Source organism: Homo sapiens, chromosome 18, assembly GCF_000001405.40.
Source record: "Homo sapiens chromosome 18, GRCh38.p14 Primary Assembly".
NCBI classification, from domain to species: Eukaryota; Metazoa; Chordata; class Mammalia; order Primates; family Hominidae; genus Homo; species Homo sapiens.
Genome location: NC_000018.10, coordinates 24748620 through 24775364, shown reverse-complemented (window position 1 = coordinate 24775364; position 26745 = coordinate 24748620). Strand labels below are relative to the sequence as shown.

The window sequence follows — 26745 nt, the reverse complement described above, 5'->3', positions numbered from 1 at the left end:
ACCAGTCTATTACATTGATGACAATATGCTGATTGGACCTAGTGAACAAAAAGTAGCAACTACTCTAGACTTATTGGTAAGACATTTGCATGTTCAGATGGTGGGAAAAAATATGACAAAAATTCAGGGGACTTCCACCTCAGTGCAATTCGTATGAGTTCAATGGTGTGCAGTATGTCAAGACATCCCTTCTAAAGTGAAGGATAAGTTGTTGCAGTTGACCTCCCCTACAACCAAAAAAAAAAAAAAAAAAAGTCAAAATGCCAAGTGGGCCTCTTTGGACGTTTTGAGACAACACATTCCTCCTTTGAGTATCTTACTCCACCCCATTCATTGAATGACCCAAAACCTACCAATTTTGAATGAGGCTAAGAATAAGAGAAGGCTCAGCAAAAGGTCCAGGCTGCTGTGCAAGCTGCTCAGACACTTGAGCCATATGATCCAGCAGATCCAATGGTGTTTGAGGTGCCAGTGGTAAATGGAGATGCTGTTTGGAGCATTAGACAGGCCCCTATAGGTGAACTGTAGTTCAGGCCCTCAGGATTTTGGAACAAAACACTGCCATCCTCTGTGGATAACTACTCTCCTTTTGAGAAACGGTTCTTGATCTACTACTGGCCCTTAGTAGAAACTAAATGCTTAAACATGGGCCACCAGGTTACTAGGCAACCTGAGCTACCCATCACGAACTGAATTTCATCTAACCCACCAAGTCATAAAGTTGGACATACACAGCAGAACTCCACCATCAAACAGAAGTGGTATATACATAATCAGGCCTGAACAGGCCCTGAAGGCACAAGTCAGTGACATGAAGATGTGGTCCAAATGCCCATGGTGCCCACTCCTGCTACATTGCCTTCTCTCTCCCAGCCTGCACATACACCCTCATGGGGAGTTCCCTAGAATCAGTTGATGGAGAAAGAGAAGACTTGGCTTAGGCCTGGTTTACAGATGGCTCTGCATGATATGCAGGTCCCACCTGGAAGTGGACAGTTCCACCACTATAGCCCCTTCCTAAGATATCCCTGAAGGACAGTGGTGAAGAGAAATCCTCCTGGTGGGCAGAACTTTAAGCAATGTACCTGGCTGCATATTTTGCTTGGAAGGAGAAATCGCAAGACATGTAATTATATACTTATTCATGGGCTATAGCCAATGATTTTACCGGATGGTCAGGGACTTAAAAGGAACATGATTTGCAAGTTGGTGACAATGGCATCTGGGAAAGAGGTATGTAGATAGACCTCTCTGAATGCACAAAAAATGTAAATATATTTGTATCTCATGTGAATGCTCATCAGAAAGTGACCTCAGCAGAGGAGGATTTTAATAGTCAAGTGGATAGGATGACCCATTTTGTGGATACTAGTCAGTCTATTTTCCCAGCCATCCTATTCATGACCCAATAAGGCATGAACAAAGTGGCCATGGTGGCAGGGATGTAGGTTATCCCTGGGGTCAGCAAACATGACTTTCACTAAGGCCAATCAAGCTACAGCTACTGCTGAGTGTCCAATCTGCCAACAGCAGAGACCAATACTGAGTCCACAATATAAGCACCGTTCCCTGGTGTGGTCAGACAGCTACCTGGAGGCCAGTTGATATCACTGCATCACTTCCACCATGGAAGAGCTTACATGTGTTCTTATTGGAATAGACACTGACTCTGGATATGGGTTTTCCTTCCCTGCACACAATGCTTCCACCAAAAAGGCTTATGGAGTGCCTTATCTATCATCATTGTATTCCATACATCATAGCTTCTGGTTGAAGAACTCACTTCACAGCAACTAATGTGCAGTGATGGGCCCAGGGCCCACGGTCATGGAATTCATGGCCTTACCTTATTCTCTACCATCCTGAAGCAGCTGGTTTAATAGAATGGTAAAATAGCCTTTCGAAGATTCAGTTATACCAGCTAGGTGGCAATACCATGCAGGGTTGGGGAAAGATTCTCCTGAAGGCTGCATGCTCTGAATCAGCATCTAATATATGGTGCTGTTTCTCCCAAAGCCAGGATTCACAGGTTCAGGAATGAAGGGGCAGAAATGGGAGTGGCACCACTCACTATTAACCTTAGTGACCCAGTAGTAAAATGCTCTGCTAGCCTAGGTGTCTTAGTTCCAAAGGAAGGAACACTTCTAAAAGGAGACAAAACACTGACTCCATTGAACTGAAAATTCACACTGCCACTGGCCACTTGGAACTCTGCATGCCTTTGAATCAATAAGCGAAGAAGAAAGTGACTGTGGTGGCTGGTGTGATTGATCCTGACTAACATGGGTTAGTTGGGCAGCTACTATATAATGGAGGTAAATAAGAGTATGTCTGGAATATAGGAGATCCCTGAAGGCATCTCTTAGTATCACCATGCCCTGGGATTAAGGTCAATAGAATACACAACAACCCAGATCCTTCAGGAATAAAGGTTTGGGTAGCTCCATCAGATGAAACACCATGACTAACCGAGGCATTTGCAGAGGGCAAAGGAATACAGAATGGGTAGTGGAAGAAGATAGTTACAAGCAGCAGCTACGACCACATAACCAGTTGCAGAAATGAGGACTGTAATTTTCATGAGTATTTCTTTTTATTTTGTTGTGAATATATATAAATATATATATATGTGTGTGTGTGTGTATGTGTACTGAGTAAAAATCTTTTTCTTTCCTCTCTTATTCCCTTATCGTGTAGCATAAGCTGTACTGATTTTATATCATAACATTTAAGTATTGTTAATTATATGTAATACTATTTCATGAATGGGATATCAAGGAGAAGGGTAAACATCTCTCAAGGATTTTACGTCTTTTTCTGGGGAAGAGGTTACTGTGTTTTCAGTTGTATGCAGGATGGTTGTATCATGTTGGGTGGAATTATAGCCTTGTTATTGTCTTTATTTGGAAATTAAGTATGGTTTAAGAAGATTCATGTGGGTGCCAAGTTGACAAGGGATGGATTGTATGTGTCGACTTGACTGGGCCTGGATGCCCAGATATGTTGTCAAACATTATTCAGGGTGTATCTGTGAGAATGTTTCTAAGTGAGATTAATGTTTGAGCTAGTAGACTGGGTAAAGCAGACTGTCCTCCCCAGTGTGAGTGTGCCTCATCTAATCTGAGTCCTAGATAGATAGATAGCCCTAGATAAGAGCAAAAGTCTGAGTAAGGGAGCCTTTGCCCTCTCTCTGCCTGATTGTCCTTTTTTTTTTTTTTTTTTTTGAGACAGAGTTTTGCTCTTGTTGCCCAGGCTGGAGCACAATGGCACAATCTTAGCTCACTGCAACCTCTGCCTCCTGGGTTCAAGCAATTCTCCTGCCTCAGCCTCCTGAGTAGCTGGGATTACAGGCGCCCGCCATCATGCCCAGCTAATTTTTTTTTTTTTTTTTGTATTATTAGTAGAGATGGGGTTTCAGTATGTTGGCCAGGCTGGTCTCAAACTCCTGATCTTAAGTGATCCACCCACCTCAGCCTCCCAAAGGGCTGAGATTACAGGTGTGAGCCACTGCGCCTGGTCCCTCATTGTCTTTAACCTGGGACATTAGTCTTCTGTCCTTGGCCTTAAACTACAACTTAGACTCCAACTTAGACTCCAACTTATGCCATTGGCTTTCCTCATCCTCAGGCTTTCAGACTCAGGCTGGAATATACATCATCATCTCTCCTGGGTCTCCAGCTTGCCAACCAGAGATCTTGGGACTTCTCAGCCTCTATAACTGTGTGAACCAATTCCTTACAATATATATGTTTCTCTGAAAAACCCAGGCTGATACAATAGCAAAGGGAAAATTGAACCTGGAAGAGTCTCATGTTGACCTTAATGCTCCAGCAAAGAAGTGACACATGTTGCTTATCTTTTCAGCTCATTGGCCAAACCTAGTCACATGATACCATCAAAAAGGGAGTCAGGAAATACACTCATATCATGTATATACTTGGAATGAGGAGAGATGAGAACATTTGGTAAACAGCACTAATAGGCACCATATTAAGGAAATGCTACCCTCTTGAAGGCAGAAGGTGCTGTGGAGCTGATGGTTCTCAGCTCTGCCAACTTTTGGGTCCCACTTTGTGTTTCCTAGTGCGGTGTGCTGATGCATTATAACAAAATCTTAAATAAGGAAAATAAAAATGGTAAGTAACAGGGTAAATTTTAGAAAAGAGTATTTTTTTAACGTAGGTTCAAGGCCCTAGACTGAATGTGATGAGGGTGCTGTGACACACAAAGCAGATCATTAAACATTTAGTAACCAGTGGTTATTGGGGCCTTGGCTTAACATCCTCATTTAGGAGACAGCTGCACTTGCCTGTATTGATTGAGATGGTGTGTGCTAACAAAAGCTGAAACCTTCAGATTTAATGAAGGCAAGGAGTCATCCTTGGGCAGAAAGCAACTATCGAACTGATTATGGTAGACAAACCCAAAGTTTGATTAATTCCATGGAGCATTGTGTCCAAAAAGAAACTCACTATAGTTTATATAAATCAACACAATCAGGATCAGAGAAATCTGGTAAATTCCAGTTGACTGGTGGATAGAATGACTCAGATAGGCAGTCAGAAGGATCACAAATAATTACTGAACAAGATTCTCTCAAGCTCCTTCCTGTTACTACATTAAATGTTTAAGGAGTCCTACTTTCTCAGATCATGAGGATATTCTTAACACCTCCTCTCTAAAGCCCTTTACATTATCAGACATGTAGGCTTGGCCCCTAGAAGATTGTAGCTCTCACAAAGTCTATTCCACCTTGAGCCAGACGCTATGAAAAGCTAAAGCTCAAAGGCCACAGCCTTCACCCTCAATCCACTGTTTAACATTGCAGACCACACTCTATTTTCAATTACGTGTATTTCATTAGTTTGCTTATTGATCTTTTGCAAATAATCCAAGTTTTAACTTGAGTATGTGGGTAGGGTAGGAGGCAGGCAAGCTGTGGGTCTGTGGAAAGTAAGGGGGCCAGGAGGGCAGGTGGGTAGGGCTGATCTAGGAGGCAAAGTGCATGAGAGAATTATTAGGACTGCTGATCACTCAGCAAATGGATGCTGACTCCGGAGGATATTTGTGTATAGCACAAAGATAAAGGCCACACATAGAGGTGGGAATGAGGAGTAGCAAGAAGCTCTGATGCACTGGATGGAAGGGGTGTGAGAAAGAGAAGGGTGGAGAGATGAGATGGAGCTGAGGGCAGAGCACTTTGATGACTACCAAAAAACTCTGGTACTCACTTCTTTAGGCACAGGGAAGTCATACAACTATTTTTAGCTGGAGGGTAACTTGATAAAGTGTTGAGTTTTTGTTTTTGTTGTTGGGTTTTTTTTTTTTTTTTGGCTTTTTTTGTTTTTTTTTTGTTTGTTTGTTTTTTGAGACGGAGTTTCTTTTCGCTCTTGTTGCCCAGGCTGGAGTGCAATGGTGCAATCTTGGCTCACTGCAACCTCTGCCTCCCGGGTTCAACCAATTCTCCTGCCTCAGCCTCCCGAGTAGCTGGGATTACAGGTGCACACCACCATGCCCAGCTAATTTTTGTATTTTCAGTAGAGGCGAAGTTTCAGCACGTTGGCCAGGCTGGTCCTGACCTCAGGTGATCCACTCGCCTCGGCCTCCCAAAGTGCTGGGATTACAGGCATGAGCCATTGCACCTGGCCAAAATTGAGGCAATGCTTGGGGTTGGCATGGACTGAAAGAAGGAGCAACCCTGGAAAGGACCTCAGTTATGAGGCTATTGTAGGGACCCACACAATCATTCTTTCAAACTGGTTTCTAATGACAGCCCCCAAACCATCAGGGACAGATGACCCTACCCACACAACATGTCCATTATTTTCTCCAGGGTGAAAACTTTCTTTTTCTTTCTCTTAGCATCATAATTGAAATGATGATAGTAACTCATTTCCTCCACACTTCTCTCCTTTGTTATAGACACTTCTAGTACTAAAAGAGTAGGAAACCAATCTTAGGCTTTTCTTATTGTTATCTGATTCCACTAGATCCTGCCTAAGAAGAGCAACTATTATTCATATCTGTTCTACATATGTCTATGTTATATACCAGACACTGCTTGTGAGGCATACAAAGAAAATTCCTGAATTGCTGCTGAAGAATGCTCAGAGGTAACTTGCGAAATAAACAAATAAGCTGTACCATTAAAGGTAACAGGAGGAACGGAGCAACGTGGGCTGCCTGGTCCCCTCCTCAGTCTAAGGCACATAACTCCATGAAATAAGATGGCTACACTGGAGAAAATCACATCCACACTGAGTCTAGAAAAAGGAAAAAAGGAAACACTAAAAGATTATCCTGGGTTGGCAGGGCACGGTGGCTCACACCTGTAATCCCAACATTTTGGGAGGCCAAGGCGGGCGGATCACGAGGTCAGGAGATCAAGACCAACCTGGCTAACACGGTGAAACCCCATCTCTACTAAAAATATAAAAATTTAGCTGGGTGTGGTGGCGGGCACCTGTAGTCCCAGCTACTCAGGAGGCTGAGGCAGAATGGCATGAACCCCAGAGGCGGAGCTTGCAGTGAGCCGAGATGGCGCCACTACACTCCAGCCTGCATGACAGAGCAAGACTCTGTAAAAAAAAAAAAAAAAAAAAAAAAAAAAAAAAAAAATTATCCTGGGTTAGTAGAGAAACTGAGCTTTAAGAAAAAGGAAGCTGCTACGTTGAAAGATTAAACAAGGAAAACTAAGTTCTAACGTGGACACAGAAAGGTCTTGGCAGGGAAGAGATGAAGAGTGAGGAGCATCGCCAAGGGGCATCTTTCTGGGTTACAAGAAGCAAAAACAAATGCAATGCCTATTTCTTAAGCATTTGTCTTGTGCCAAGTGCTCCACTTGGCTCCTCTCATTTCATCCTCTGCACAGTACTATGAAATATGAATCTGAGTTAGCATCCCCATTCTGCAGACGAAGAAACTGAGGCTTGTCTAAGGACACACAGCTAATAAACAGTTGGTTACAGATTCCACCCAACTGTTGAGCTCCAGAGCTTATGGATTTAAGCACCACACTTACACTGTCTCCACAATCCTAATCGTAAAGTCTCAGAATCAGGTCCAGTGATCCATCTCTTGCAGCATAGCTATGTCTAAATTACATTTCCGTGTACTTCCCAAACATCTACATGGATATTCTGTAAGTACTTGTTTTTGAAAATGTCCAAAAACATCCCTTTATCTTCTACCACCCAATGCACACCTCTTCCTGCATTCTCTAGTTCAATAAAGGTATCATCTTTCTCCCAGTAAACTATCTTTAATCAGGGGATTTCTCAATATACAGGCAGTTGCTAAATCTTGTCTGGCCTTCTTTTGAGATATTTCACATGATTCTAAAGTCACTTTCTATTATAGCTGGCCTATCCCTGTCCTCTCCTCCTGCAATCCACTACCCACCTGCCTCACACTGCCAGTGTGGCTATTTTTCTTTGACACCAATGAAGGAGACCCTCAGTGATAAGTCAGTTAAGCCTGCAGACTCTGGAATCAGATAACCAGGGTTCAAATCCAGGTTTCCATATTTACCAACGATGTGACTTCAGCAGTAACTGAAATTTCCTTAGTTTCAGTTCCTAAACACATTAAATTGGGATAATGATAGTACCTATCTCATAAAGTCATTGGAAAAATTAAATGAGACACTTCCGCCTCAGACACAGGAGAAGGCCCCTGTGAAATGTCATCAAGATCGTTGAAGTCAATGGTGGGGTTTCTTCCCTGATCAAAAGCCTCTGTTGACTCCATTCTGCTTACAAAGTGAAGTTGAAAGAAACGTTCATCATGATATTCAAATCCCAAAAGAAAATTGCCTTAATCTACCTTTCTAGATTTCTTCTCTTGTATCCAAGCTCTCTTCCCCAGCTATGCTATGCTCTAACCAGAGACCAGTCACAACTCAACAGCCTCCTAACTCTGCCCGTTCTCCTTCCACACCTTTGCTCAAGGTGTTCCTTGTGCCTGGAACAGCCTTCACCCATATCAGCGATCAAATCTGACCCTGGGGCCTAAACATCACCTTCTCTGTGAGGCATTTGAATATCCCTTCTTCCAAACACTTTAATGGTCTCTCATAGGGCTCTATTTTACCTGTGCCTGCATCACTAGATTGCAGGTAGCCTTATTGAATGTGCTCTATCTCCCATGACCATTTTTTTGCAGTATTATACTGTGCTGGCTGTAAAGGAAACCTTCATTCTGCACCTGTCCATCCTCAACTCTCCTGTGCCAGGCACCTCTTACTCTGTACCCATAGTCACTCCCACCACTACACTTTTCCCTGTGAACAGCAGCATTGGGAGTGATTCTCTAACTCTCCCCTAATGCCAACTATCTTCCTTCTCAAATACACCTGGTCAACACTGCCCATGCCTTAGAAGGTGGTACAGCCAGTACTAGCATAGGATGACAAATGACTTGCACCAGCCCTAATCAAGACTAAATTATCCAACAGGGGATTTTCCCCATCCACACCGTAGGTTCTTAAGAAATGAAATTGAAATATAGCAGTTGTTCTCAAACCTGTCTGCACATTGAAATCACTCAGGAAGCTGTATTAGTTTCCCAGGCTTCCATAACAACATACTATTAACTGGATGGCTTAAAACAACAGAAATTCAGTGTCTCACCATTCTGGAGGATAGAAGTCTGAAATCAAGATGTCAGCAAGGCCATGGCTCCCTCTGAAACCTTTAGGGGAGGATCCTTCCTTGTCTGCTCCTAGCTTCTGGTGGTTTGCCAGCAATCTTGTACATTTCTTGGCTTGCAGATGCATGACTCCAATCTCTGTCTTCATCATCCCATGGCATTCTCCCATGAAGCTTTAAGGAATTCTAATGCTTCAAGGGCATGCATGACGTGGCAAAGAAGATTGAGATGGAGACTAGAAAAATAGGGGAAAGCAGGAGAAGATGGGAAGTTGGAAGCCAAAGAAAATTGCCTTCACCTACCATTCTGGACTTCTTTTCTTTTGTGTACACTCTCTTCTTCGGCTATGCTGTGCTCTAATCAGAGGCCAATCACAACTCATCAGGCCCCAACTTCACACGGCCATCTGCTTATAAGGACACCAGTCATATTGATTAAGGGCACACTCTACTCCAATATGACTTCATTTAACTTTAGCAGTTACATCTTGCAATGACCTATTTAGGAATAAGGTCACATTCTTAAGTATCAAGGTTGAGGGTGTCAACATATCTTTTTGGGGGGACTGAACTCAACCCATAAATGAAGTTTTTAAAAATGCTGTCACTAATATTCCATACACAGAGACTGTAATTTAATTGGCCTGGGGTACATCTTGGTCTTCTGAAATTTTTTAAATTCTTTAAGCAATTCTAATATGCTAACAAGTTTTAAAACCAAGTGTCAGGGGTTCATATCAAGGGGTTTTGGCATCAGGCTGCCTGGTATTGAATCATGCCTACAACACTTACAAGATGAGTGACCTTGGGAAATTTGTATAACCTCTCTGTGCCTCAGTTTCCACCATTTAAAATGGAGATAATAATATTTAATAGTACTTGCCCCATAGAGAGGTTATAGGAATTAAATTAGGTTATAAAGGACAGCATTCAGAACTATGCCTGAAATCATATTGTCCCTATTATTACTACAGTTCAGGCATATTTACACCGTACCTTTAAAAGCCTCAATGGTAATATTCAATGAAGACTGTTTAGTCTCTATTTTAGAGATGGAACAAAGAGAACACATAGATATTCAATAATTTACTCAAAAGTCTGTGAGGAGCCCTAGAAAGAAATTCAGGTCTCCTATGTACAGATCACAGCCCAGAACCCCAGGAAGCCAGAGGTTTTCCATCCAGGTCCCAGGGGCCACCATGATGTGGGGTGAGGGTGAAGGATTGGGGTGGAACAGCTCAGTTTTATCTGCTTCACATGTTGATGAACTAAAGGATTTTGTTTGAAAAGGGAGCAGGGCTTCCTATGGCTTAAAAAAAAATTAGAAAGCACTGTGCCTGATTCTGTCACCATAAACCTTCTAAACTGACAGTTTATCCTGGCTTCTGCCTCCTCCCTTTTCCCCATGGAGCAGAAAAGCCCCAGAGAATTTCAGGTGGCTGAGGGCATTCCAAAAGAGGAGGTGAGTGCACATCTCCATGTTCTGTAAGAGGAGAGATGCAGACAAACTTTGTAGCATTTCAAAATGTCTGCCCTCTGCTCATTACTAAAATTTGTATAAGGGGGACCGAGAATTAAGGCCTCCCAAGGCTCCAATCAGAGTTATCTCCACTGAGAAATGCAAGATGAAATGGATGGAGCACTCTCTTACGCTTCTAATCACTGGGAAGTTCAGGAAATTGGAAACGCCCCAGAAACAACATGACATATTAAATACCAGAGCCTGGGTGATCCATCACCATCATCATCACTGTGGTCATTACCATTCACTTCTACTCCACGGACAGCCCGTAAATCAGCTTGTAGAGCTCTTTGGGATAGCTGAGTGAGAAGCACTGAATAAATGTCAGCTGGGATCATTAAAGATACCTTTCACTTTAGACAGATAAATGTTAGTGAGTCCATGGTCAAGGAAGCACCAATAGGGACCTTAGCTATTTCCAGGGGCCCCAAGATACTAATAATGGTTTGCATAGTCAGAAAATTAAGATAGAAAAGGAAAGGCCCTTCTTATCCCACAATATTAAAAATACTCCACAAGCATAAAAACTCATTTACTGTACTTGGCTTGTGAAGGGATATATTTCTTGTTCAGTGAAGTTCCTCCATGATGGTGATCTGAAAATAGGCAGAGAGCCAAATAATTTGTGATATGCCAATGCATCAGGACAAAACTTTGAAACCTTCACTAAGGACATTGGGACCAAGCCAAGGATGCTTATAGGCAAGGCCACTGCCTGTATGCTCCAGTCTACCACCATGAGCCCTCTTGTGTCTTTTTGCTTAGCCTTCTCTTCTCAAGTGTTGGCTCTATGCAGTGTGTCCATTCTGTACATAACAGGCAGCTCTCCAACAGCAGCTCCAGCGAAGGTTGGGTCTAGGGACTATGACTGCTCCTATGGAAGAATGCCCAAGACTTCCCAGCATTGGGACGCTGTGTTTTCTAGATCCGAATTGATGAGTCTCTTTGTTCAGAAAGACAAACTTTCATCTTCTAACATATTCCCTTGTGTGTTTGCATCTGTGTGTTACTTTGGCCTAGGTTATTGGTTTCCATTGAACTAAGTACCAGGCCCACATGGAGGAGGGGACTTTCTTTTTCGTAGGTTTTCTATTGTTCATTGTTTGCTGAGTGCATTCTCTGTACAGTATTGGATGGATCTTCAAGGTCCCTTGAGGCAGAAAGTCCCAAATAAGGAGACAAGTGACTCATACAGAAATTGCTCTGCTGGGAAGAAAAGCCAAGTTGTTCATGGCCTGTACATGAGCCAGGTGGGTGGGAGTATGTTTATGCTAGAACTTCCAAAGACTAACTTCCAGTGAGGCCCTCTGGGGACACGAGGCTCTAGTCAAGTCTGTCTTTGGGGGAATGCTTCTTCCTGCCTAATAGAAGGCAAGGCCACAGGGGGATTCTGGAATTTCCCGTTTAACAATTACATGGATTATATTTGTCACTGGGACACAAACACCTTTTTCAGTGCTATATTTATTTTATGCTTAGAAATGAGATAGAATTAAAAAGGCAAGAATGGAAAAAGTTTAGAATTCAGAAAAGAATGTATCAGCATATTGGGCTCAATTCTGTTCTTCAAGGTTCCTCTGCAGGCAGGATGGGGCTTTAAGACTTAAGAACCATTCTGTCTTTCAAACTGCATTCCAAGAGCCCCCATACAGCCACCACGGACAGCCAACTGGAACCTGAGCTTCAGTGATACAATTGTTTACCCACTGGAAGCAGGGTTGGCAAAACCTAGTGAATTATTTTAGAATATAGGCAATTCCATGATATTGTGTTTACTTTTGACACAAACACAATGCAGGCTGGCATCTTAGTGGGAAGGGAGGATTGGATACTTCTTTTCTTTTTTTCCCTGACTCTCGTTCACATTATCTATTTGTTGTTACTAATTCAGTATAGGTTGGAGTGTGGGAAAAGGGGAGGAAAAAAAGGAATAAGAAAACTCTTCCCTTATGTAAATTAGGACTGCCCTAAGATGGTTTTTTACTCTTTGGGCCAAGCAGATGTTCAAAACTGATTCTTTCTTTCTCATGGGCATTTTTGTGAATTTACCTGAGGCTCCCTTCCCAGGCTTCATCTAGCTGAAACTTCTGTAATTTTAGAAATGTTTCCTCTATTTGCCACTCAATCCTCACCATCATCCCTGAGTTTTCTTGCAATCTACTCTACATAAACTCTTTCCTGTGGGAGTTCCATTATATCTTCCAAATGTCCCTCGATCTTGAAAGACCAAAATGCTGGAAAGAAGAAAAACAGACAGAAGTGAACACTACACTAGTTTCTACTTGCCACCCTCAGGGCATTTGCCAATTTGCTTTGTGGAACATAGATGCTGAACAAAGATCAGCAGCCAAGAGTTTCTAACAGTCTCATTGGCAGGGGAGTTGAAAATTGGTGGATAGGGCTACCAAGGACGCTACAACTTGAGGACTCATGATCTGAAAGAAAAGCTAACTGCAGAGATGGAAAGTGGGTATTATATGTGCAATTTTTCCTTGAGGTATTTTCCAACTTCTAGCTGCACATGTGTGAGGCAAGTTGCCAAGAAAACAAGTAAAAAGCAGCTGCTAAGAAGCTAAAAATCTAAGCAGACAGTTCAGTAGTCTCATGGTGCTGGAAAAAAATTGAAGTTCATAGCCTGCCAAGAAAGAGAATCTCTAATAAACATACCAGGCTCACACTTGAGCTCCTTGAAGGGATAGGCTCTAGGAATAAAGATGAACCTAAAAAAGACCAGTTCTCACAAACCCTCATATTGAATCTGAAATCCAAATCCAATAGATCAAGATAATCTTCCTGTGGTCTATATGCCTGTCAGAAGAAAATTAAATCCTCTCTACAGGCAGACGTCATCCATAGCATCTACAATTTTTTGGCAGGCATTATAATGTCTGCCATTTGGTCACATTTGCCAAGCATGCCAGAATACAAGATCAAATTACCAAAAACAACAGTTTAAAAAAACAGACTTTAGAAACAGGCTCAAAAGCAAATATTTAAGTTCAAATTATTGGACATAAAATTTCAAATAACTATAAATAACATAATCAAAATAGACAAAAAGATGGAAAATTTCATCAAACTACTGAAATCCATTAACATCATCAGAAAATGCAGAGTTTAATAATACAACACTGAAATTAAAAATTCACTTGGATGGCAATTCAGTTGGATTTAAAAGCACATTAGATATAGCAGAAGAAAAAATTAGTGATCTGGAATGTATATCAGTAGAAAATATTCAGGTTGATACTTTTCAGAGAAATGGAAAGAATAAACAACACAGAAAAAGAGCTTAAGAGGCATATGAAACATGATGAAAATAACTTTCATAAGTGTAGTTGTAGTCTATAAAGGAGAGAGATAATTGAACAGAAGAGACATTGTGAGAATTTTCCAAAACAAGCAAAAGATATTAGTAAACTGAAATTCTACAAATTCTGAGCAAAATAAATACAGATAAAGCTAACCCACAAACACTAAAAAGAGTATCTTATAAAGAGACAGAAAACAGACACATGATGTTCAGAGAGATACAATATCTATGGCTGAGTTTTCAATAGAAACAGTGAACAAAAATGTCTTTAAAGAGCTAAAAGAAAATTGTTGCCAACCTAGAATTGTGTACACAAGGAAAATAGCTTTCAAAAATAAAGGCTAAGCAGACAGTTTCAAATGAGCACTTAACAAGCAGGGACAACAACAACAATGGCACAAGGAAAATGACCCTAGATGAAAACATGTTATTGCAAGTAAAGACAGGCTAGAGGGAATTTTGTAGTCTTAAACGCATAAACTAGAAATGAAAAAAAAAAACTTACCATCTCTAACACAGGTATTCACATCAAGTTAGCAAAACTGCAAATTAACCCAAGAGAAAGAAGGAGGTAGGTAGGAGAAAAATAGAAATAAAAACAAAAATTATTGAAATAGAAAGGAATCATCTAATAGAAAAAAAGGCAACAAATCTTTGAAAATACTATTAAAATTAATAAATATTTAGCAAGGACTAATCAAGAAAAAAGAGAATGAGACACATATGACTAATACTAAAAACAAGAAAGAGGCTATCACTACAGATTCTGGAAATATTTAAAAAGAAGTTAATACAAACAAACTTATGATCCTAAACTTGACTAAATTTACTGGCTACATTTATGACTGTCACTTTGCAGAACTGTTGGACAATATAGACTAAGGCTAAACATAAGCGATTCCATAACCCAGCAATTTCTTTTCTAGGCAACTCAACGGAAATGTATGCATATATTCACTAAGATATGTAAAAATACGTTCTAGCATCAATATTTCTTTTTTTAACTTTCATTTTAGGTTCAAGGGTACATGTGCAGGTTTGTTATATAGGTAAACTTGTGTCACAGGCATTTGTTGTACAGATTATTTCATCACCCAGGTGCTAAGCTTAGTACTGAATAGTTATGTCTTCTGATCCCTCCCTCCTTCCACCCTCCACCCTCAAGCAGGCCCCAGTGTGTGCTGTTCCCCTCTTTGTGTTCTCATCATTTATAAGTGAGAAGATGCAGTATTGGTTTTCTGTTCCTGTGTTAGTTTGCTAAGGATAATGGCCTCCATCTCCATCCATGTTCCTGCAAAGGACACGATCTTATTCTTTTTTATGGTTGCATAGTATTCCATGGTGCATATATACCACATTTTCTTTATCCAATCTGCCATTGATGGCCATTTAGGTTGATTCCTTGCCTTTGCTATTGTGAATAGCGCTGCAATGAACATATGCGTGCATGTGTCTTTACGGTAGAACGATTTATGTTCCTTTGGTTACATACCCAGTAAGGGGATTGCTGGGTTGAATGGTAGTTCTGTTTGTAGCTGTTTGAGGAATCGCCACACTGCTTTCCACAATGGTTGAACTAATTTACACTTCTGCCAATAGTGTACAAGCATTCCCTTTTCTCTACAACCTTACCAGCATCTGTTATTTTTTTACTTTTTAATAATAGCCTTTATGACTGGTATGAGATGGTATCTCATTGTGGTTTGATTTAGCAGCAATATTTCTAATAGCCTTAAAAATACCCAAATTTCTTATTAAAACAGAATATATACATGAATTAGGGTGTATTATTAAAAATTAATACTATTGTCAGCAATGCAAAAAACAAACTATGCCACGTGTAATAATTAGGATGAATTTCAGAGATGTCTTATCTCACAGACATCCAAGAGAATATATTGCATGATTCCATTTGTATAAATTTCAAAAATAGACAAATATAATCTTTGGTGTAGAAGTCAGAATTAATGTTTTCTATGGGCAAAGGTGGGTAGTGGGCAGTGGAGAGGTAATAACTTACCAAGGGTATGAAATAGACTTTTGGGATGCTGATAATATACAGTGTTGATCTGGATGTAACTACATGAGATTTTCACTTTTCCAAAAGTTAAGCAAACTGTACACCTATGATCCGTGTACTTATATAAAAAAGCAAAGTGACTAGAATAGCTAAAATAATTTTGAAAAAGAAGATCAAAGTTGGAGTACTCACACTAACCTATTTTAAGACTTACTCTAAAGTGACAATCATCAAGACAGTGTTGTATTGGTGAAGAGCTAGACACATAAATCAATGGGCAACAATAGAAAGCCTAGAAATAGATCCACACAAATATGGCCGATTGACTTTAGACAAAGGTGCAAAGACAATTCATTAAAGAAAGCATAGTAGCTTTCATCAAATGATGCTGAAACAGTTGGAATCCACATGTTAGAAAATGAACCTTGACCTGTACCTCACGATTTAAACAAAAATTTAGATCATAGATCTAAATATAAAATATAAAACTATAGAACTTCCAAAAGAAAATCCTAGTAACCCTTGGGCTATGCAAACTTATTAAATAAGACACCAAAAGCACAACCTATTTTTAAAAAGAGACAAACATGGCTTTATCAAATACAAAAATGCTTGCTCTGTAAAAAACATTGTTAAGACAATGAAAAGGCAAGCTACAGATAATATTTACAAGTCATGTACCTTACAAAGGACTTGTATTCAGAATATACAAAGAACTCTCAAAACTCCACAAAAGAAACAACACCACTTACACATACACAAATGGGCAAAATATTTAAATAGGCATTTCACTAGAGAAGATATATTGATGACAAATAAAGACATGCTGTTCAACATAATTAGTTAATAGAGAAATGCAAAGTAAAACCACACCAGGACACCGTTACACACCTACTAAAATGACTAGAATAAAAAACAAACAAACAAAAAGATAGGACCAAGTGCTGGTAAGGATATAGAGAAACCAGGAGTCTCATACATTGCTGGTGGGAATGCAAAATAATACAGCCACTCTGGAAAACTATTTGTCAGTTTCTTATAAAGTTAAAATACACTTACCATATAACCCAGCAATCCCATACCTAGGTATTTACCCTAGAGAAATGAAAACTTATGTTCACACAAAAACTCGTACAGTCTATTAATAATTGTCAAAAACTAGAAACAATCCGAATGTCCTTCAACAGGTGGCTGAATGAACTGTGTACATCTACACAATGGAACACTACCTAGCAATAAAAAGGAATGAATTCTTGATGTACACAACATGGATAAATCTCAAAAGCATTATGCTAAGAGAAAGAAGCAAAACATAAAAGATTGCATGCTGTGTGATTCCATTTATATGACATTCTGGAAAAGACAAAACTACAGGGCTGCAGAAAAGACCAGTGGTTGCCAGGGGTCAGGAGTCGAGGAGGATTTTGAGTGGCAGGAGGGAAATTTTTTTGGGTGGTGGAACTGCTCTGTGTCCTGATTATAGTGGTGGCTACATTAATATGTACATATCCATGCATACAGCTGTACATTTTTAAAAAGTTAATTTTATATATGCTAAATTTTTAAATGGTTAATAATTTTTTAGGGTAGAACATTCTGCTTTTTATTTGCATTGTTCAAAGCGAACTGAACACATTAGTGGAGCTTCAATGGCTATTGATTTTAGCCAATGGATATTTAAGGATACTAATTTACTTCCTCTCATAGTCATTAAGAAATTCAAAAAATAAACCCATGGAACAAAGAAATAAAATGTCAAACTTTAAGCTTCAGCTCTCTCTGAGAACTGTGTTTTGGCATTGACCATATCATTACCTACCTAGTTATGAGCTCATACTTCTGCACAGTTCATTAGAATTTACCTTTAATTCTATAGCAAACCATAATTGCAAAGCCCACCTGTTCTAGTCAACATTTATTGCACTGGCATATTTCTTTCAAGGCCATATATTAAAGAAAACTAAAGAGACAGAGTCTCTCCAAAGTTCTTAGGATTAAGACTCTTGGTGACACTTTAAAATATTTCATTCAGAGAATTATTTTGGGAACTTCCTCTAGCATTCTAATGATTCACAGATTTTGAGACCATTAAAATATTTTTCTCAATTTTTCTTTCCTTACTTACACCACTTTGTTGGTTTTTTTTATTTTTGCTTTAATTTTTAATTCTTGTGGATATGTAGTAGATGTTAAATATTTAATAATTTAAAATTCCTATGTGCTTCATTGTAGAGGTGTATATATATTTATATGTATATGAATCTAATTGAATTCATATATATGAACATGAAATTCATATTTACATATATATGAATTTAATTCACTAAGACTAATACACATGAATATATATGAATTTATATGCATATTTGTCCTCAATTAAAAGTTTACAAAGAAAAAAAACAAAGCAAACAGACAACAACAAAAGCAGCCCCAGATAGGTTATCTCTGCAATGGCTTTGGGAAATGTACAAACATCAGGCTAATGGAAAACATAGGAACTTTGCCCAGCAAATTGGGGAAGTGCTGTGGCCAACCCCAATGTACCACCTGCTCTTTGCACTTGCTGTCAGGAAGATAATGCTGTATGCTGGGACCTCCCAGGTGCAGCCATCTCTCCTGCTACCCAGCACTCCATCCTTTAGGTTAGCCAACTTCAGGAAACAAGTTCCATGTCTCTAGGTCTCAGCAATGTCTCCTCATTTTTCTCAGGGTCAGGAGGCAGATGCACCCACCCACCCTTTTGAGGGAGGTCATAAGATGCACAGCACACCAGCAGCTCCATGTAAAACTGCCTCGCAAAATCCCCTCCCTTTTCACTGTCCTAATTCTTTTCCTATTTCAGACTTGCTCAGAGATTCCAGGTGAGAGTTCCAAGAGTCTGGAAAAAAGGACTTGGCATTCTGATTTGAGATTTGCACTATCAATGGATTGCTGGTTTAGTAATTATCTGTGAACGCATGTTAACAACCTGTGACACATAGCAATCATTTAGCAATTCAATTTTTTAAGTACTCACAAAAAAAGAAAAGAAAACAGACGGGCACCTTCTTTGTTGATTTATTTTCTATTATTCTATTTTATGTATTTTGTTAAACCTGTTTCTTTCTGTTCATTAGATTAGATAACTGTTGTAGATCCATTAGGAAAAATGCATACCACACTGCAATGTAAAGGGCTGGCACATAGAGACAGCAAGCTGGTCACCCAGACAATTCACCACAGAGCAGAAGAATTCACCAGGGCCCAGGATTTTATTGTCAGAAACATTGTTAATACCTAGAGAACAAATGGATGGCTCAGGGGCACACTCACATTAATCAAGCTTGCAGAGCCTGAGATAGACAGATAGATAAGTAGATCAGATAAGACATTCATATATAGTATAAAAGCACATTAGCCAATTTCAAAGAAAGATTTATATACATAGCATGCTATCAACTTATGAGCCTGATGTTTATTGTAAGCTTCCCACTACCTTCCCTACTTGTAACCAAAATAGATGGGAAACTAAGTCATCCAAATGCAAATGGATGCAAATGAAGACAAGGAAACGAATTGAAGGGACCTAAAAAGTTTCTCTTAGACTAGGTGGCTTGCAGCACCATCCTCTCAAATAGGTACACCCTGGACAAGAAAACATGAAAACAGCCCCCCACCCCACATCCCCCTTTTTTATTTATTTTTTATTTATTTATTTATTTTTTTTTTTTTGAGACAGGGTCTCCTTCTGTTGCCCAGGCTGGAGTGCAGTGGCATGATCTCAGCTCACTGCAGCCTCCGCCTCCCGAGTTCAGGCAATTCTCCTGCCTTAGCCTCCAGAGTAGCTGGGATTACAGGCACACGCCACCACGCCCAGCTAATTTTTGTATTTTTAGTAGAGACGGGGTTTCACTATGTTGGCCAGGCTGGACTTGAACTCCTAACCTCAACTGATCTGTCCACCTCGGCCTCCAAACGTGCTGGGATTACAGGCGTGAGACTGCACCCGACCAAAAAACCCATATTTTTGAGACTGCCTCACCAACAGTCCCTCTCATCTGTGTCAGGTCACTGCCTCTACAATTTTTTTTGAGCTGAGTTCTTAAAGACAAGTAGAAAAGTTACAGAGCTACCTATGGGGAATGCGGCACTGCGGGTAGACAGAAGAACGTAAGTAAAGAACCAGGGGCATAAAACAAGGTAAGTAGCTGTGCAGACCTTTTGCAAAAGCAATGTGAATGGCAAAAGCAAGAAGGTGGCCAAAACTAAAAGAAGAAGCATGCGTTGTGAGCCTCTTCTGTTCCAGTTGCCAGAATGCAAAGATGACTTAGATCTGGTCATGGCCCTCGAGGAGCCCACTGACTGGAAGGGGTTTTACGCCGGTAAAGAAACAAGACATAAAGAGGTGCTGTAACAGTGGTAGGTACAAAGTACTATTCTGAGCACAATCTCAACATAATTCCTCTGGCTTGGACAATTCTACCTCTCTTAAGTAGTAGCAAGTACAACAGAGTTTTCTATTCATTCTCTCTAGTTGGGGTTTAGGATTTCTCAGGACCTGCAAATTGAAAGTGCTATGGGAAGCTCATGCCTTGCCTCTTCTTCTCTAGTTTTCATTCCAGCCCAGCTAACAGTACTTATCTATAATAAAGTGCCTTTGTCCCAGCAGGGGCCATTGCCAAGTAAATGCAATGAGAGTTTTAAGATTTCTGAATCCACACCAAAAATCTTTCATATTTATCTAAAAAGCATGTAATTATAAAGAAAATACATACCTTGGGAATGAATAATTGAATCATAAAATCCATCAAATGTCATTTTACTCATTTTGCCCAAGTGTCTGTTTGAAATGATTCTAAGCAGTGTGACGTCAATATCTATTGAATGCCAACGTTACACAGGGATGCATAAATTACCCTCCCGGAGAATTAATGGCACATAAATATATCTCCATTAAATATGTTTCAAATTTAGTTGTTATACATTCACTAAATGTATAGGCTTTTAACAGTTACATTTTAGGCCAAGTTGCCTTTGAAACCACAAGACTTTTTTTTTTTCTTTTCTGGAGCTGTAGTGGAGCCCCAGGCCAGGACTGTTATATATGGTGATGATAGCAGGCAGCTCAGATTACCCCAAGAACAACACCCAGACAAGAGCACAGAGAGATGCCGCTTGTTCTAGGCTGCTATGAATTAGAGGCCTCATGGTTAGTTCTCTGAATATTTCTCAGACAGTCTTTCAGGCTGCTCTCTCTGTGGGTTAGTTCATCTGGAGTTGATGAAGGAAGAAGTATTTCAGAGCCAGCATCTGCAGTTCTGTAGCCTTTTCACAGACACCTGGGGGTCCAGGCACCATTGTGGGTGGCTCTTCTTCCTCAACCTGGAAAGGGCTGGGTTTAATTCCTTCATGCTAACCCCCCATCACCACACTGTACTCACTGTTCAGCCTTTCTCCCTTTTGTTGGGGAGACATATTTTTCCACTTTTACTTGGTAAAGTAATAATCACCATTTCTAAAAAAGAAGATTCTAAGATATTGAGTGAGGGGTTGTTTGTTTTAATAAGCAGCCATAGGAAGAAAGAGAAAGAAAGAATACCATCCTTTATTAAGCACATAACAATTCTTTCAATCCTCATACAACACCCAAAGAGGCAGATACTGTTATTAGGACTCATGTAGGGAGCAGAGGGTAGTGCGTAAAACCATTGAAACTGGAGTGAACTACATGGATTCAAACCCTGGCTTCAGGACTTACTAGCTGAGTGACATGGACAAGCAACTTAACATATCCATGTCTGCCCCATTTTCTAGTGCCTCATTTATAAAATGGAAAAAATCCTTGTTTCTATTTCCTGAGTTATCAGAAATAAGATAATATTCTAGGTGAAAAGTACTTAGATCAGTGTTTGGCATATAGTAAGCTCTCAGAAGAGCTTATTATTAATATATCATTTTATATATAAAGAAACTAAAATTCAGTCATTCCCAAGATTACAAAGATGTTAACAGTAGAGTTGAGATTGGAACCCAGGTCTGGATTGTTCAGTCATTCATTAATTCAACAAGCTCTTTCCATTACCCATTATTAGTTGTTATTGGGATATAATTCACCCTGGGTATCTTGCATTGCTGCACATCTTGCAAATGGGGCACTGACTGTCCTTTGTTCAGAATTATTTGTTGAAGGGCATTTATAAAGCAAAGAGCCTTGGAAGAAAAAAGATAGGGACTCCCTCTGGAGTAAACTGTAGGCCTGCTTTTACTGTTCATTATGACAGATTTGGGCTTCTTAATCCCAGAGTCTTCTCCTGTAATACAAACCACTGTATGTATAGGCATCCATCTGGGGCCATCCCTATCATCTCTGGGAGACTTGGGGGCAAAGGGAACTGACACAAATGTGCTGATGCTCTTGCTTCTTGCCATGCTGTGAGATCCAGGACTGTGAGTCTTCTGCCAGCATCCTTGAAACTGATAGGCTGCCATGTCAGCTTGCAACTGCATGGATTCAAATTCTGGCTTCAGAGCTTAATTACTGTGTGACATCGACAAGCAACTTAACATATCCATGCCTGCCCTATTTTCTGGTCCCTCACTTGTGAAATGGAGAAATATAGCAAAAATCTCAGACCTCGCCTCAGCTCTTGACAGTATTGGGGATGAGAGGAAAAAGGACCCTGCCGGGCATGTTTGGGAGTATGTGAAGACCCCCTGAGATCTGATAGAATGCACTCACTAAAGTGGTAAGCAAGTGGAGAGTAATGAATGTTGATGAACGTTTAGAAGATGAGCAGAAATAGGTAGGGTTGACCAAGCACCCAAATGGTGCATTTGTTGTTGCTCACTCTCCCTCAGGAAAGAGGAGGAAGAAATGTTACCATGGGACTCAGGAATGAAAAACCAAATATGTTCTACATGTTCTCACTTATAACTGGGAGCTAAGGTATGGTTATGCAAAGGCATGGGGGTAGTATAATGGATACTGATGACACAGAAGCAGGGCAGGGTAGGAAAGGAGTGGGGGATAAAAAAAAAAACTACATATTGGGTACAACACACACTACTTGGGTGGTGAATGCACCAAAATCTCAGACTTCACCATCACATAATTCATCCACATAACTAAAAAATCACTTATATCCCAAAAGCTATTGAAATTTATATATATAAATATATAAATAAATACATAAATTTTATAAGAAATGTTATCATGGGGCAGCAAGCCCATGGCCCCAGACAAAAGGCAATATGGCTGTCCCTGCTGAGCCCAGGAGTCCCTAAAGCTGAAACGTAAGGTGCCATCAATGAGGACATAGAATTTTAGGTGGATTGAAGACATTACAAATTTGTTTGGTTGAGCTCAGAGCAAATGGCCACTCTCAGATGAAAATAAATGCAAAGCCTTACTTATTAACTCAGAGCCACTCTCTCCCTACACGCCCTGATCCCTCCCTCTCTCGCTGTTCTGACCTCAGTTTCTTTAAGGAAAAAGATGATTAGGGGTGAGGCTGCAGTCTCTCTGTCCCCAAGCAAGATCAAAGACCATATGCACGCATATGAGTGTGCAGGGGAACTTTGGTGAGGAGAAGGAATAAAACTGTTATGACGCTGTTAAGTACAGCTGCCCAGGTCACGATTACACATGGTCCCACAGGAGAAGGGAGCACTCAAATTCAGTCAATGGGATTGGAGTGAGGTTCACAGTAGATGGGAGAAGCTAAGGTGACATTGAGAGTGGGGTCTTTGACCAGGAGCTGTAGTTGCTTCTACCTCTGAATGTCTAATACCAATACATACATTAAATATTTGTACTTCCCCATCCCATAAGCTCCAAAGGGGATTCTCCCAGTCAGAAAGAGCCACATGTAAAGAATTGGTTGTATTTTTGGGGAGCCCTCAACCCTAATGAGGCCACTTTGAGCCACGAGTCCCTGTGACTGATGAACTTGCCTATTGGAGTCTCTGGCAAAGGGAGGCATATTCTACTCAGAGATGCCCCTTGGGGTTTTTGACCTGTTACCTCCCTGACATGATTAACAGGTACAAGCATTTTGGAAAGAAGCTATGAGATTGCTGTATGGCTGTCATCCAAACTGAACACCTGATGCAAGGAGGCCTCGTAACTCTCTGATAGTTCTTTGTTTGGCATGAGTGAACTAGAACTCAATGACTAACAAGGTAAGAAGAGCCCAACAAGCCCCTCTTGTCAAAAACGTATGAAGCGAGCCTGGCTCCAGAAGCATCTTGGCTTTATACAAAAAAGTGGTAGCTGTCCCTTGAGAAAAATTTTATTCCCCATTCTGCCACCTGAAGTAAAGCCACTGGTTCAGTGAGGCCCTTGGTTCACAGAGTTTCCCCTAAGTGCCTGGGCCTGGTTCACTGATGGTTCAGCTAAGCTAAAACCTGATGGTGTCCAACAGCTGTTCAACTCCCTGCCAGCTACGCAGAACCAGGATGTGGTTGCTCTGCTCGGTGGGCAGAACTCAAACCCATCCTCATAGCTCCAGCCAATACTCCCTTTGATGAACCATAGTATATTTTTCCTAACTCTTGGACTGTGGCCAATGGCTTAGCTATTCAGTCTGCCATTTACACAACTACAGACTGGCAGATTGAAGACAACCTGCTTTGGGGTCATGAAATGTGGAAACATATCATGGCTGCTAATCAAACCATCTGGGTCGCTCCTATAGGTGCCCACAGTAAGGGTCTGTGCTCTGATGAGACGGGCTGCAATCAAGCTTTTGATGGGGTCTACAATGTCCAGATTGCTGCCATTGCCACCATGATCTCTCATCTTCCCAGACACAGCAACATGGCCACCATCATGGACTGTGGACAAAGCAAAGGACTTTATGTTTCTGGTGCAGAAGGTCCCACTGCATGCCAGATTTGTGACTTCTGCCAAAAGAATTTGTGACTCCTGCCTTGATCCTTTTATCTCCCAGTGAGGAAGGCTACACATAACCCTTGAAGTTGATGCATCATGTTTTTGGCTTTCTGGACCATTTGTAGTCTGATAATGGTAAACTTTTTTATCACAAAGCTACCCGATTATAGGCTAGTGGTCAAGGTATTGAATAGGCAGTCTACACTCCCTGCCATCCACAGGTATATGGTATTATTTTGAGTTGGGAAAGGCTTTTTCATATTTTTGACTTTACCTCAATCACCTTCTTCTAGTATATATACCTTCCTAAGACAATTTGGCTATTGAATGTGGCTGTTCCCAGAAAGGGATTATGTTCTCTTTCACCTCCTGGGTAATAATTAGGATGTAAGGGATGAGGGTTTACATAAGTCTCTTTTGAAAATTCTGGATCTTTCCTGACCATTCCTGGGCATGATGCTTTTTGCAGTCCCCCCAAAACAACTCTAGGTAAGCCTGGTTGGATCACCCTCTGGATGATCTTCTGCACAGGCAGAAGGGGGCCTGAAGGACTTAAATTTGATTTTAGTTTGGCCATCTGGGGGCTCTTGTTGGACTGACATGGTAAGAGGGCATAAGGATGATGACTGCCTGGTTGAGTACACTACTCACCGAGTCCCCTACAGTGGCCCACATGTGCCAAAGTAGGGGATATGGTGGGTCTCTGCCAGTTTCATAAAAATTCCCTTGTCCTTCTCACGTTTGACCTCTCTGAATGAAAGGCATGGGTGTGAATATCGGATGATGTTTCTAAGGTGATATTATAGCTCCTGGAATGGGACACACTAGTTTTGAGGCCATGGAAGAAGAATAACGACCTTGGCACTAGAGAAGAGAACACCTCAGAATCCAGAAGGGATGGAGCAGTGAGGGAGATTAATACTACTTGTCTTTCGGAAACTTCCCTGGACCCTTGATCCCGAAGGAAAATGCCCTGGTGTCACTCTCTCAACCTGAAGCAAGCACCTTAAATTTAACTGACTTCCGTGCCTGTCATTCTCCACCAGAAGGTTCTAACAAAACAGCAGAGAAGAGCCCCAGTTCCTGCACCTCCCCTGCAAAACACCCTTTCAACACCTCTGGATGTTTTCCTCATCACTCTTTTCCCAGCTGTCACTCAGTCATCCCATGCAGCAGATGAACGCCTCCAGTCTGGCAACATGGACCAACAGGACAGGTTGGACTGACTGTCCTCAGGCCAAAAACAAGGACATGGGAACTGAACTGGGAGTCTTAAGGTCCACCAGCCAAATGGGATCCCAAGCTGACAGCACGGACAGCTGGGGCCCTCCAACTCCCATAGGTCCAACCTGAAGGAGGAGGCAGAGGGGCATCTATTGTAAACAATGATTCCTTCTTAGGGGAACCATGAACACTCCTGCAACTACACTTGTTGTATAGAAGCCGGGTATGGAAATAGTGACAGCTATGGAAATAGTGGTGAGAAAAACATCCTGAGGTGTGAGGGTGTTTTGCAGGGAAGGTACACGAACTGGGCCCCACCGCCTGCTGTTTTGCTGGACTTGTTAGAGCTATCTGGTGGAGAATGACAGACACAGAAGTCCGTTAAATTTCAGACAAATTGTGTGGAATCTGGTACCTCAGGGGTGGCCATAAGAAACTTCAAGTCAGCTGTTAAAGCAAATATCACCAGTAAATTACATAGCTCTCATATGACTGTGGAGAGCTCTCCAAAATGAGGCTACCCTTGGGTATTTGGGAGAGATTCCCAGAGAGATGGTGGGTATGTTATTTGTGCCCACACTGAGGCCAGCTTTTTCTACTATAGGAGTCATCCAACCAGAAATAGTACAGTGGCAAGGTGTGGTGGCTCACACCCATAACCCCAGCCCTTTGGGAGGCTGAGGTGGGCAGATCACTTGAGCCCAGGAGTTCAAGACCAGCCTGGGCAACATGGTAAAATTCTGTCTCTACCAAAAAAAAAAAAATTAGCCAGGCATGATGGGGCATGCCTGTAGTCTCAGCTACCTGGGATACTGAGGTGGGAGGATCACTGGAGCATGCAGTGAGCCATGATCATGCCACTGCACTCCAGCCTGGGCAACAGAATCGACTCTGTCTCAAAACAGAATGAGAATAAAAAAAGAAAAGAAAGTAACGAAGGAAGGAAGGAAAAGGAAGGGAAGGGAAGGGAGAAAGGAAGGAAGAAAAGAAAGAAAAGAAAAAAGAAAGGGAGGGAGGAAGGGAGGGAGGAGGGAAGGAGGAAGGGAGGGAGGAGGGAAGGAGGAAGGGAGGGAGGAGGGAAGGAGGAAGGAAGGAAGGAAGGAAGGAAGGAAGGAAGGAAGGAAAGAAATGGTGGTACGAAATTTA

At 41.1% G+C, this 26745-nt stretch overlaps 1 long non-coding RNA gene across 1 annotated transcript in view; it reads right to left on the bottom strand.

Moving 5' to 3' along the window:
• The window catches only part of LOC105372028 (uncharacterized), a 40865-nt gene continuing 22839 nt past the window's right edge, over positions 8720–26745 (bottom strand). The window contains exon 3 of the long non-coding RNA NR_134604.1: positions 8720–8884. This is a non-coding gene — a long non-coding RNA (uncharacterized LOC105372028). The remainder of the gene's footprint in view (positions 8885–26745) is intronic.